Below are 14,029 nucleotides of genomic sequence, written 5' to 3' on the forward strand. Positions count from 1 at the left end.
GTGTGGAAGCCAAGCTCCCTAGCCCCGTTGCCTGGAGCACTGCAGTGTTACAGAAAGCCTCTCTAGCAGCCATTCTCAGAGCAGTGTCTGGGGCTTAATCAGAAGCCTTAAGGAGCCTCCTTACAGGCCAGGGATGATTCAAAACAAAACAAAACAAAACACACACACACACACACACACACACACACACACGAAACTATCCCCCAAGCTCCTCTAGTTTTATGGGCAAATTATGTACCTAAGGCTAGCTCCAAAAACTTCATTTGCAAAAACAATCAAGAGTTCCTAAAGACTAAGCAATAAGAGCTGCTTTGCTAATACTTTTTACTTGTAAACTAAAATCAGGGAGTTTCTAGAGTGTGAGGGCCCTAATTCAGGATTCCATAAGAAGCCTGGCCTGCACTCAGTCAAGGACAACACTGCCCAGTTCCAACCGCACATGTGCCCATGCAGAGAGCTGGAATTTGCTTGACTTGGAGGAAGCATGCTTTAGGGGTGTATACCTTCTGGTTTTTGTCATGAGATGGTTATGGTTTTCATATTTATTATTTATTTATTTATTTATTTTTGAGACAGAGTCTTGCTTTGTCGCCCAGGCTGGAGTGCAGTGGCACAATCTCAGCTGATGGCAACTTCCGCCTGCTGGGTTCAAGTGATTCTCCTGCCTCAGCCTCCCGAGTAGCTGGGATTATAGACGGGTGCCACCACACTCAGCTAATTTTTGTATTTTTAGTAGAAACAGGGTTTCACCCTGTTGGCCAGGCTGGTCTTGAACTCCTGACCTTGTGATCCACCTGCCTAGGCCTCCCAGAATGCTGGGATTATAGGCGTGAGCCATCGCGCCTCACCAGTCATGGTTTTTAATTGCTGCTCTTCTTGCCTTTCACTTATAAGCAAATCACGAATAGTTTAGCTGCATTGCCAGTCTAGTTTGGTGTGGGTTGTTTGCATCACAGGGTAAAGCGAGCCATATTTGCATATTTAGGCTTATCATTTTGCTAGAAAATAGACTGAGGCTTGTGTATATTTTAATTTCAGTAAATCACAGTCCTGTCCTGCCCCTACTCCCTTCAATTTGCTGTGGAGTGATGCTTCTTTTCATCATGGACTCCTTTGATACCTGGGAAGTAGAAACAGATGAGGTTGGGTGAGCCCAAGGTGCTGTTGTTCCTCCTTTGTGGACCACAGTGTAAAAAGATAAATTTTAAAAATATATAAAAGGTTTGGGAACCCTTGTTTCTGATCAAAGACCAGAGCGTGGGAATCAGCATGAAAGGGAATGGGGATGGAACCTACGAATGTGACTTTCTGCATCACCCACAACTTCATACCATATTTCAAAACACACCTGCTGCTGCTTTGCCGCAACAGTTTACTTCTAGAGCATCTGTAGCCCTATTATCTGGGATTGGGTAGGTTTGATGCCCAGCGTGCCCAATTTTATACTCTACTTTTCCATTTATCTACTCTCTTCTTTTCTGTATCTCTTTGGTAGTCCGCATCCTTTTTGTGTTTGTGTGGCCGTCTGTTGAGTGGCGATGTCATGTTGACAGAGCTAATTGAAGCTCCTTGTCACCTGCTCTGCACGCTGCACTCCCTCCCACAAGACTTGCTATACATATGGGATTATAGGGCACCACTTCTATACTGGACACAGTGCTACCCTGGAGATTCTGATATGGACAACACTTTGGTTCCTGCCTTCAAAGCACTGACAGCATTTTCTCTTAATCTGGCAAGTAACTTTGTAAGATAGAAAGTGTACATTTTCTTCTATTTATTTCTGGGTTTTGACTGCTTATAAAGTCTTAGTATAAAGAAGCATTGTGTAGAAGAGAAAAAGCTTCACCCCTTTGGCTGTGGTAATTCATGTAATTGGTTCTCAGTTGCTCTGACGTTGGAGGGTGGTGTGAAATCTATCACGGTGGATAATCCGAAATTTGCATTTGGAATGCAGAAGTATCTGTTCTCAGGATCCCACGGAAAATTAGCCTCCTTCTGTCCCCAGCTCCTTCTGCTCCGGCTTGGCATCTGGCTGGGCAGCACTGGGAGGAGTCCCTGAGTCACCATGTGGAGCGACCATCTGTGACTAATTGAATGATCACAGCCTTGAGTTATTTGGGTTTATGTCTTTGGCTTGAAAATGAATCTGTGATGAGCCAAGTGCAGCTTTCTTAACTCCTAGCCCAGTGCTCTTTCCCCTGTTACAGAAGGAGGAAGGAGCTTTTTGCATGAAAATAGTTGCCAAAGCATCCTGGAGGAGGGGGCATCCTGTCTGGGTTCCAGGGAGATTTAAATTGGCACACAGCGGGAGGGGCAGTGGGTGCAACTGTGTAGAGGTCAGAGTGGACAGAGATGGTGTGTGGGCTGGTGATGTGGCCAGTGTGAGAGCAGCTCTGGAAGAGAGTGACAGACAAGGTTGGAATTGCTGGCCATAGCCAAGTTTTGGAAGGAACGAATAAGATTTCTGCAAGTTCTGTTTGTCATTATCTAGTGCTGCAAGTTGAGAATTAATAAAAGTAAAGTAAGAGCCCACCTGGCAGAGGGGCTTTTCCTACCAATATTATTTTTCTCACTCTAAAAATAGAAGCAAATGACATACTGATATTTAGCATTCATAGAATAAGCAGGATTTGGCTTCAAATCAGTCCTGAATTACATGGGTCCGCAGGAGCCTAGCCTGACCCCTCCCAGTGTCCTCACTGAGCACAAGCCACGCAACCAATAACGAGACTCTCCCCTATGCCAGGCCCTGCGCACATGTGACCTTCTCTGTCATAGCCCTTTATCCTCTGCCTGGCCATTGGGCAGTGAGGATCTGGGGCCGTGGCTGCCATCCCTTTAGGTCCACACACCAAAAGAGGCTTTGTTTTCATTTTTAAGATATGCCTGGTGTGTGCATGCCTAAGTTGGTTGAAACATGCCCTCATGGTTGGTAAATTGGTAGTCAGAAGCCATTTAGCAACAGGACAGTTGAGTGCTAGACTAAGGATGCCCTTATCTTCGGAGCAGTAGAGGTCACCGAGGGCTTCTGAGGGATGGCCTGGCAGAACTGCAGCAGGGTTAGAAAGGGAGGAGGCTGGCAGCAGGCTGGTGGGCGGAGCAAGCATCCACACAGAGTGTTGGAGAAGTGGGCATGGGAGAACCGTTTGAGAGGAAGAATGGGTAAGACTATTGGAGGTGGGAAAGAGAGAAGGGAAAGAGTACAGAACAGGGCAGCCTCCAACGTCTGATGTTATTGACATCTCCTTCTCTTTCCTGAAGTTTTCTGTGCCCTAAGAAAAAGCCTGTTAGCCTCAGCCCCTTGCTCCCAGGACCACACCTGGCCAGGGCTGCTGGGACAGGCTCCTTCACATCTGTCCCACCTGGCATGGCTCAGAACATACCCCTTCCTCGTGTTAGCCAAAGCGAGAAGGGGGGTTACTGTAGTTGCTTGGACACACTGGGCTGCACAGGCCAGGAAATTACCAGCATGTCCTCTCAAACACCTCCTGCCCTCAGTGGAAACCCCGGAGAGATGGCTGCACTAGATGGAGTCTCTACAGAAGGGACATTCGTCTTCCCTTTGGGGTGGCACCCTTCCTTAAATCGTCAACTCAATGCCTGCTTCTTTCCCAGGATTGGATCTTCAAGGACAAGGACCGTGTTGGTTTAAATCTGATGACACACTCTGTAACTCTCCAGTATTTGAGGATGATCAAGTATCCTACTTCAGGGGGATTCTAGCGAGATTTAGGAACTTAATTAACAATCTTAACAGCTTAATCCTATTAAGTCTTGTTAGACAACATTTAAATGCCAGCACTCTCAAGCAGTACCTGGGGAGAGCCCTGCTAATTTATTCAGGCCTCAATTGATCTTAAAATGCATTTTCAGTAGGATATAGAGTTCTCTGGACCCTGGGTTCTCAGAAAAGAACATGTTGTTAATTTCATGCACACCGAGTTAAAAATGTCACTCTGTGGGGTCTGAATTGCTATAAACTTGCTTATGCGGCCGAGTCTCACCTTGATTTTGGCACCTACTACGTAGGGATAAAGATTTTCCATTTGGCATGATGCATGGAAACAGTTCAGATTAGCAGCTCCAAGATCAGATTTTTCTTTTTTTCCAGTAAGGGGTGAGTCAAATATATCTAGAAGAAATGAGGAAAAGCTGTTGGATTTTCACCAAACTTGGATAGGAAATAACATCATATCACTGTTACTTTCCATATGCAAGATGTTACCTAAGGGAGAAATCCGTATTTCCTGGTGTTGACTTCTAAATTAAATGTTGTCCCAAGGTTTGATAAAAAGCTACTTTATTGCTTTCTGGTTATGGCTGTGAAATCTTGAAGTGTCTTCTATCTGCCTTCACACTGGTGATTTACTGGGGCTGAACTTCAGCTGGTTTTGCGCTATGAAGGGGCTGATCATTTACTTCTCTGGTAACCAGCGCATTGTCCCAATGAGAGTTTTTGTCAGATTGGATAATTAAGACAATTGCAGTGAAATGTATTAATTGCAAAGGTAGTTAGAGAAGAGAGTTGAATATGACCTTTGCATAGAAGGAGAACTTACCTTGTTTGAGCATTGGAGGGTGGGGTTAGGGAGGAGTCGATGGCAGGTGGGATACAGTTTTTGTTTCTTGGGGGGTTTTTTGAGACAGAGTTTTACTCTGTCATCCAGGCTGGAATGCTCATAGCTCACAGCAGCCTCGACTTTCTGGACTCAGGCAATCCTCCCACCTCAGCCTCCCAAAGTGCTGAGATTACAGGCGTGAGCAACTGTGCCTAGCCAGGGCACAGTTTTAAATAAAGTACCAGTATGTTAGAATTGGTGGTGTTCTGTTAATCATCTGTAATTACAGCACCTTGATAAACTGGAAAAAATCAGAGTTGGAGGCCGAGCGTGGTGGCTCACGCCTGTAATCCCAGCACTTTGGGAGGCCAAGGCGGGCAGATCACGAGGTCAGGAGATCGAGAACATCCAGGCCAACATGGTGAAACCCCGTCTCTACTAAAAATACAAAAACTAGCTGGGCATGGTGGCATGCGCCTGTAGTCCCAGCTACTCGGGAGGCTGAGGCAGGAGAATTGCTTCAACATGGGAGGCAGAGGTTGCAGTGAGCCGAGATCGTGCCACTGCACTCCAGCCTGGCGACAGAGCGAGACTCCATCTCAAAAAAAAAAAAAAAAAAAAAGAGTTGGGGGAAAAATACATACACACAGCCGGAGTGCAGTGAAATGAGGGAGAGAAGATCTATAAGGGATTGACTAAGAAGCTCTGGACACAGTCGCCTTCTTTGGGGCATGCAGGACTACGGTTCTTTTTACCCTTGACTTTGAACCCCAGTTAGGCATGCCCATCCCTCTCTGGGAAAGTATTGAGTAATTATAACTGAGAATGTAATCCTCTTTCAGATGAGACCATGTCGTAATTAGCTGCAATGATAGGAAGTTAATTCATTTGGTTCCCTCTGACAGGTCTGAAACTAGCCTAAGCACGTGGGTCCCCTGTTATCTTTGCCTTTTCTTGTTTATTTCTGTAAGCATTGGTGTTTTGTGGGAGATGCATACTTTGCATATGCAAGATAGAAAGAGCTTTTGTCAACACTGTTGATGCCTGGTGTAAACAAGCATGTTTGAAGAGTTACTGACGAAAGGCAGAAGATAAATTTCAACATGTGCTTTTGCTTGAGAGGAAAAATCAGGAAATGAGAGTGAAAGCTGAAGTGAAAGAGATTCTTCTGAAAGTGTCTTCATTTCATGGAGAGGGGGGAATACACACAAGGCACCCAGTATCTGGCAGTCCTTGCTTCTCCACCAGCAAGGCAGGAGGACACAATAAAGAGAAAAGACTACAGCTCATCCCCCTGTCTCATAAGGAAGAGTCTGAAAACCCCTGCCTCTTAGAGTTGACTTAGCCAGCAACACTTGCAAATCAAGTCGATAAGAATTTTTTGCGCCCCATTGTGTGCCTGCTGCTGTGCTGGTAGATAGGGGAGGGCACCAAATGGAAAAACCGTGCAGGTTGTGCACTGCACAATCCTAGAAGGTGCTGTTCAAACCATAGACATTGTTTATTTGTCTCTTTAGTATGATAATATTCCAGCAAATGGAAGCAAAATGTCTTGAGGAAGACTTTTTCTATTTCTTGGCATCCTGTGGGCTAGTATGGCCTAAATGTGGAGATGAACAGAGAAACAACCATAGTACATCATGATAATGGCCAGAGTGCATGTGTGTGCAAAGCACAGAAGGACTTAGAAGGAACCCTCCATGTGCCTAAGAGTCATGCAGTGGTTCACAAAGGGCCCCTCTTTGGAAGACTATTCCCCTGAGCAGAGAGAGGCAGTGTTGTGGAGTGGCAATGAGATTGTGTTTTACACCCAGACTGCCTGGGTTCAAATCGCTAATGTGCTCCTTCACATGTGACCTTGGGCGAGTTATCTAACCTCTCTGTCCCCTACATGAGTTGCTGCTGTTTCCGCAGTGCCCTGAGGTGTGTCTGCCCAGCCAGGCTGTAGTTTAGGAATGTAGTGTTGGGGGCAGGGAGGCATCTCAGTCCTAATACACTCACTGCCCTCCCCTACCAAATGCTCCAGCCTTTTCTTGGTGTCCAGACCAGACAAAGACCAAATAAACCCACCAATAGCAAAATTCATTCTTTGTTTTCCTCTGAACACCAATGTCAGTAAGAGTAAAAGAAATACGAGACAAACATATTCAAATGTATCTAAGCCCTTTACCTGATTTCCTCGATGATGGGCTCATAAAAGTGATGGAATATATTAGTTTGCACTTTCGAGCTTGCTGATTGCAGTCCTCAGATAACATTTATCAACTTCTACTCTTGTTTCAAGTACCAGGGCAAAGCTGAACAATATTAATATTTGCTGGAAGAAGTAAGCCTCATGTCAAAAGCAAGACATAAACTTGGTTCCCGTGGCTTCTAAAAATACCTCCGTGAGGCAGGCAGGATTATTGAGTGCTAAGTGGGATTACAACTTAATTTAGGAAAGCCATCCACTTTCTAATTGTGATTGTCCTGAAATACATTGATTTATATATCAATAGCCTAAAGTTTTTCCTCTTCTCGGGTATATATTTTTGGTGACAGCCATGGAGATTGTCCCAGCTCTTTCAAGTGACCTAGAGTGGTCCACATACTATGATCAAAACTTCCAGCCAGGTAATATAGGCAGCTGCTTCAAGACCATTCTGAGAGCTTGAAAAATCAGAAAATGTTATTCCTTTGGAGATGAGTTAGAGTAACCATTCTATATTAGTCAATTTTCATGGTGCTGATAAAGACATACCCAAGACTGGGCAATTTACAAAGAAAAGAGGTTTAATTGGACTTACAGTTCCACATGGCTGGGGAAGCCTCATAATCATGGCAGAAGACAAGGAGGAGCAAGGCACTTCTTACATGGATGGCAGCAGGCAAAGACAGAGCTTGGGGAGGGAAACTCCACCTTATAAAGCCATCAGATCTTGTGAGAATTATTCACAATCATGAGGACAGTGCAGGAAAGACCCACCCCTGTAATTCAATCACCTCCCACTGGGTCCCTCCTACAACACCTGGGAATTCGAGATGAGATTTGGGTGGAGACACAGCCAAACCATATCACATCCCAACAGAAGCAGAGAAACCCTGAAATCTCAGTAGCTTCACCCAGTAGGAGTTTATTTTTCACTCCCACAGCCATCCAGCTTGCATGTTTAGCAGAGATCCTCCCAGGTGGGGACCAGGGACCCAAGGACCCATGCTTCTTCTGTCTTGGGGCTCTGCCATCTTCAACAGGTGGCTTTCAGGTCCTGCAGAAGGGGACAGGGAGTTGAGAAGACACACCTGCTTCTGAAGCACTGAGGCAGAGGTGATGCATGGCACTTGTGATCTGGTTGACGAAGTCCTCTGGGTGAGCAGCCTCTTCTCAGCAGTAAGTGAGGAAGGGCAGCGTGAATCTTTGGGGAACAGCCTACCTTCTTGGCCATGATACAGTCATGCATCCCCGCACACAGAATTAGTTCAAGATGACAGACTTAAAGCTCTGAGAGGACTGGCCAGGCGTGGTGGTTCATGCCTGTAATCCCAGCACTTTGGGAGGCTGAGGTGGGTGGATCACGAGGTCAGAAGATTGAGACCATCCTGGCTAACATGGTGAAACCCCGTCTCTACTAAAAATACAAAAAAATTAGTTGGGCATGGTGGCAGGCACCTGTAATCCCAGCTACTCAGGAGGCTGAGGCAGGAGAATTGTGTGAACCCAGGAGGTGGAGGTTGCAGTGAGCCGAGATTGCACCACTGCACTCCAGCCTGGGTGACAGAGCGAGACTCCATCTAAAAAAAAAAAAAAAAGCTCTGAGAGGACTGGCTGAGGCTTGAGGTCTGTAACCCGGACCTCAGAAATCAGGGAGAATTGCCTTCCCCCCTTCTAGATACAGTTAGGGCCAGCCTTTAACCATATTTCAAAGTAGGCATCTCTCATCTGTTTATTCTTTCTTGTACATCTTTCTAATGCGCTTCCCTACAGATTCTGCTTAAACCCTCTCCTTGGGCACTGCCCCTCCCCCCCACCCTGGCACATATGCTGTTTTCCTACATTACATGTTTTACATCTCTTCAGCCCAGTCACTCACTTCAGTGCTGCTGATGCCCAGTGTTAAGAGGTAAAGCGGATGGGGCTAGTTTATACTCATCTGTAATTGATTGACAGCTCTTTTTCTCTGAGAAGAATTGCATTTTTAGAGAAGATTTTTGAACAGGCTTCACTCTGGGCTTGCCAGAGCCTCAATTTACAGACTGTGTTAGAAAAGAGTAAGTCTTACTGAATTAACAGTGGCATACATAACCTCACCTCCCTGCTGCTAAGAAGCTACGGCTCTGACTCCGCATCTACCCTAAGTCTCACTGGCATCTGTCGCTATGATCTAATGCTACCATCGTCTCTGGCTGGACTATTGCATAGCCCAGCTGGTCTTGCTTTCTTTTGCTCTTCCCTCACTATAGCCTCTTCTTATGACAGCCAGAGTGATCTTTCTAAAAGAGGAATCAAATCACACAACTTTTTTTGCTTAAACTGTCCAGACCTTTTATAGTGCAAATAGAACAAAATTTCAAACTCCTCTTTGTGACTAACCATCCCCCATGTATGAAGGCCCAGCAGTCTACCTCTCCTGCCTCCCTGAGCCCCCAGTCCCCATCCATCACAGTGCTCCAGCACACTGGCAGGAGATGTAGACTGCTGGGCCTCTTCCTTTTCTCCAACACAGCAGCATGTCAGCCCTGGCTGTTCCTTGTCCCTGATATCCTCCACCTACAGACTTCTGCATGGATTTCTTTTTCTGGTCATTCAGGTCCCTGTGCAAATAACACCTCCTAGTGAGGCACTTCCTAACCACCCCCATCTAAAGCATGCATCCCTTCACTCCCCTTCACTCTTCTGCCACACATATGTATCTCAATGCCAACTTTACTTTTTTCATAAGCTCTGGAAACTATCAGAATGGATCTTAAATATTTGTACGTTCTCTCCACTCCCACCCCTTACTTCATTATGTAATTTTTGTAACAGCAGGGATCACATCTCTCTTGTCCTCTCCTTTATTCCTATCATCTAGTCCTGGCACATAATAGGTCCTCAGTAAATACCTACTAGGTGAAAATAAAAAGAAAAGAAAAGAATAAGTCTTATACATTTAAATGAAAATAAAAAAGAAATAGATTTTAAAAAAATACTATTCCTGGTGTTATAGGCGGGTACATATCTGCCTCCCTGAAAAGAGAGGCCACACAGTGTAGTGATGAAGTACTTGCTGACTGCCTGGGTACAAACCCCAACTTTGCTACTTGCTGTGCAACTTTGGGTAAGTTACCTAACCTCTCTGTGCCCTTGACTCATCTATTGCAGACCTTTCTTCACTGTCCCAGGAGTGGTGTCTGCCCAGCCAGGCAGACCAGGTTGATCGGTTAGCCCTCCAACTGGGAGTCTATCTCCACCAGAGAAATGATGGGTAAATTTAAGAACAGGCCATAGGAGCTGTTTGTGTTTGTAAAAAAGAGGTAAAACTGAACAATCAAGTAGAAACTCTTCCATTAGCTCCTGACTCTGGGTCATTAGGATAGCAAGGCAGGGGTTACCTGGTATGAGCCTCACTCCAGTAGTGGCATACAGTAGCAAAGGTTGATTATAGCATTAGAACTAGTTTGCAGGGTGTATTAGTCTATTCTCACACTGCTATAATGAACCACCTGAGACTGGGTAATTTTTGAAGAAAAGAGGTTTAGTTGACACACAGTTCCACAGGCTTAACAGGAAGCATGACTGGGAGGCCTAAGGAAACTTACAATCATGGCAGAAGGTGAAGGAGAAGGAAGCACATCTCACCATGGTAGAGCAGGAGAGAGAGAGAGAAGGGGGAGCTTCCACACAGTTTTAAACGATCAGATCTCATGAGAACCATCATGAGAACAGTAAGGGGGAAATCTGCCTCCATGATGTAATCACCTCCTACCAGGCCCCTCCTCCAATTTGACATGAGATTTGGGCATGGACACAAATCCAAACCATATCATCCCACCCTTGACCCCTCCCAAATCTCATGTCTTTCTCACATTTCAAAACCAATCATGCCTTCCCAACAGTCCCCCAAAGTCTTAACTCATTTCAGTATTAATGGAAAAGTCCAAGTCCAAAGTCTCATCTGAAACAAGGTAAGTCCCTTCTGCCTATGAGCCTGTAAAATAAAAAACAAGTTAGTTATTTCCAAGATACAGTGGGGGTACAGCCATTGGGTAAATGTTCCCATTCCAAAAGGGAGGAATTGGCCAAAACAAAGGGGCTACAGACTCCATGCATGTCCAAAACTCAGTAGGGCAGTCATTAAATCTTAAAGCTCCAAAATAATCTCCTTTGACTCTATGTCTCACATCTAGGGCATACTAATGCAAGGGGTGGGCTCCCATGGCCTTGGGCAGCTCTGTCCCTCTGGCTTTGCAGGGTACAGCCCCTGTGGCAGTTTTCACGGCTGGTGTTGAATGCCTGTGGCTTTTCCAGGTGCACGGTGCACACTCTCTGTGAATCTGCCATTCTGGGGTCTGGAGGATGGTGACCCTCTTCTCACAGCTCCACTAGGTAGTGCTCCAGTTTGGACTCTGTATGGGGGCTCCAACCCAATGTTTCTCCTCTGCATGGCCCTAGTAGAGGTTCTCCATGAGGGCTCTACCCCTGCAGCCGACTTCTGCCTGGACATCCAGGCATTTCCATACATCCTCTAAAATCTAGCGGAGGCTCCAAAATCTCAACTCTTGTCTTCTGCACACCTACAGGCCCAACACCATGTGGAAGCTGCCAAGACTGGGGGATTACATCCTCTGAAACAGGGGCTTGAGCTGTGCCTTGGCCCCTTTTAGCCACAGCTGGAGCTGGAGCTGCTGGGACTCTGGGTGCCATGTCCTGAGGCTGCACAGAGCAGTGGGAGCTCTGGGCCCTGCCTATGAAACCACTTTTCCCTCCTAGGCCTCCAGGCTTGTGATGGGGGGGTCTCTGAAATGCCCTGGAGACATTTTCCCCATTGTCTTGGCTATTAACATTCAGCTCCTCTTTACTATGCAGATTTCCGCAGCTGGCTTAAACTTCTCCTGAGAAAATGGGTTTTTCTTTTCTACCACATGGTCAGGCTGCAAATTTTCCAAACTTTTATGCTCTGCTTCCCTTTTAAACATAAGTTCCAATTTCAGATAATCTCTTTGTGAACACATATGACTGTATGCTCTTAGGGACAGCCAGGCCACATCTTGAACACTTTGCTCTTAGGACTTTCTTTTGCTAGATACCCTAAATCATCTATCTCAAGTTCAAAATTCCACAGATCCCTAGAGTAAGGGCAAAATGCTGCCAGTCTCTTTACTAAAGCATAGCAAGAGTGAATTTTACTCCAGTTCCCAGTAAGTTCCTCATCTCCATCTGAGACTACCTCAGCCTGAACTTCATTGTGCATGTCACTGTCAGCATTTTGGTCAAAACCATTCAACAAGTCTCTTGGAAGTTCCAAACTTTTCCACATCTTCTTGTCTTTTTCTAAGCCCTCCAAACTGTTCCAACGTCTGCCCATTACCCAATTCCAAACTTGCTTCCACATTTTCAGGCATCTTTATAGCAGTACCCCACTCTTGATGCCAATTTTCTGTATTAATCCATCCTTATACAGCTATAAAGAACCACCTGAGACTGGGTAATTTATGAAGAAAAGAGATTTAATTGACTCACAGTTCTGTGGCTTAACAGGAAGCATGACTAGGGGGCCTGAAGAAACTTACAATCATGGCAGAAGGCAAAGGGGAAGCAAGTACCTCTTACCATGGTGGAGCAGGAGAGAGAGAGAGAGAGAAGGGGGAGGTTCCACAGACTTTCAAATGATCAGATTTCATGAGAACTCACTCACTATCATGAGAACAGCAAGGGGGAAATCTGCCCCTGTGATCCAGTCACCTCCCACCAAGCCCCTTCCTCCAATTCGGCATGAGATTTGGGCAGGGATACAAATCCAAACCATATCACAGGGTGATCAGATACACTGCCTACAGAGTGATATTGTGTGTGTGTGTGTGTGTGTGTGTGTGTGTGTGTGTGTGTGTATTTATTTTTTGGCCAGGTGTGTTTCCAGTGTGGATTCAGATAGAAATTATTTCCAATAACCGAAAGTGTTGAATTGTCATGGGATGTTCATATGGTTATATGTATGCTTGTTGCTACAGCAGTGTGTGTGTGAGTGTGTGTGTATTTATTTTTTGGCCAGGTGTGTTTCCAGTGTGGATTCAGATAGAAATTATTTCCAATAACTGAAAGTGCTGAATTGTCATGGGATGTTCATATGGTTATATGTATGCTTGTTGCTACAGCAGTGTGTGTGTGTGTGTGTGTGTGTGTGTGTGTGTGTTTCACATCCACAAGGGGGAATAAGTCAGGATAGAAGGGAAAAAAGGGGATGACTAAATTGACCTGGAATTTGAATCTGTTATTGTGTTTGTTGTGGCTAAATTGAGTCTTCTGGGCCTATCTGTTTAAGGAAATGGCTTACTTCATTATTTACTTGACCATCCCAGAATAGCAAGCAATAAGTGCCTGTGTGTTGGCAACTGCAGCTAAAGCTCTCCTATCTCTGCAAACATGTGAGTTTATTTTACCTTGGAAGCCTTCATAGGTGGGCTGATTGTTTTAATGATGGCTGTGAGGAGTGAGCCAAGGTAGAAAACCTCCCGTGGATTGGAGCCAGGTCTGTGTGGCTTGGGGATGGGTTCTGGCTGTCCTGTTTACAGGCTGAATAGCCTCAGGCAAGTCACTTAGCTTTTTTCAGCCTCAGTTTTCTCATTTGCAAAATAGACATAATGAGATCTACCCTCTAGGTAGTAATTAGGATTAAATAAGATAATGACTTACAAATGTGGATTTTTTTTATTTCTCTACTGGAGTTCACCAGTATTTGTTTTACTTTCTCCATTGTTCTGAAGCAAATTAATCTATACTTGTTCCCCCAACAGGAAGTTTCCCTGGTGGAAAGTTGAAGTAGGGCAGATTTATTTATGAATATCCTTTCCTCAGTGGTTGTGGGGAACTTTCATTTCAGTATCTGTGAATTACAAGTTATGATTGTCCAGACTACATAGAACATCCTAGAAGCTGGAGTTTTCTGAAAGAGAAAAGGTGTGGGAAAGGAAATCTGGCCTGAGGACTGCCTGGCTGAGTCTGCAGGATGAAGGGAGGGAGCCATATATGTTGAGCTGGGCTTTGGCTGGGGTTTCTATAGAAAGAGGTGGGACTGGGTCAGGACGGCCTGTGGAAAATAGCTCCTCAGCCAACATGGAGTCAAGTTCAGTCTCCTCAGACCTTTCCAAGCTCAGTCATTCCAGTTGCTCTGGGTCTCCGAGGCCAGGAAGGGGTCCAGGAAGTTGATGTCACAACTCCAGAGAGGAAGAGATATTGAGCAACTGGATGGAGAATGGACCTAGGGAAGGAGGTGTGGAGGGGAGTGTCAGAGCCA

At 45.4% G+C, this 14,029-nt stretch overlaps 1 protein-coding gene across 8 annotated transcripts in view; it reads left to right on the forward strand.

Moving 5' to 3' along the window:
* Positions 1-14,029, forward strand: part of SLC24A4 (solute carrier family 24 member 4) — a 178,901-nt gene that overhangs the window by 72,694 nt on the left and 92,178 nt on the right. The window contains exon 1 of one of the 8 annotated variants that reach the window (XM_005267342.2): positions 13,111-13,160. The exons of the other annotated variants lie outside the window; for them this stretch is intronic. The gene's annotated coding sequence lies outside the window, so the exon portion shown is untranslated. Of the gene's footprint in view, positions 1-13,110; positions 13,161-14,029 lie in introns of those variants that run through there. 8 annotated transcript variants of the gene reach the window in all.

This window comes from Homo sapiens, chromosome 14, assembly GCF_000001405.40.
Source record: "Homo sapiens chromosome 14, GRCh38.p14 Primary Assembly".
In the NCBI taxonomy this organism is placed as follows: Eukaryota; Metazoa; Chordata; class Mammalia; order Primates; family Hominidae; genus Homo; species Homo sapiens.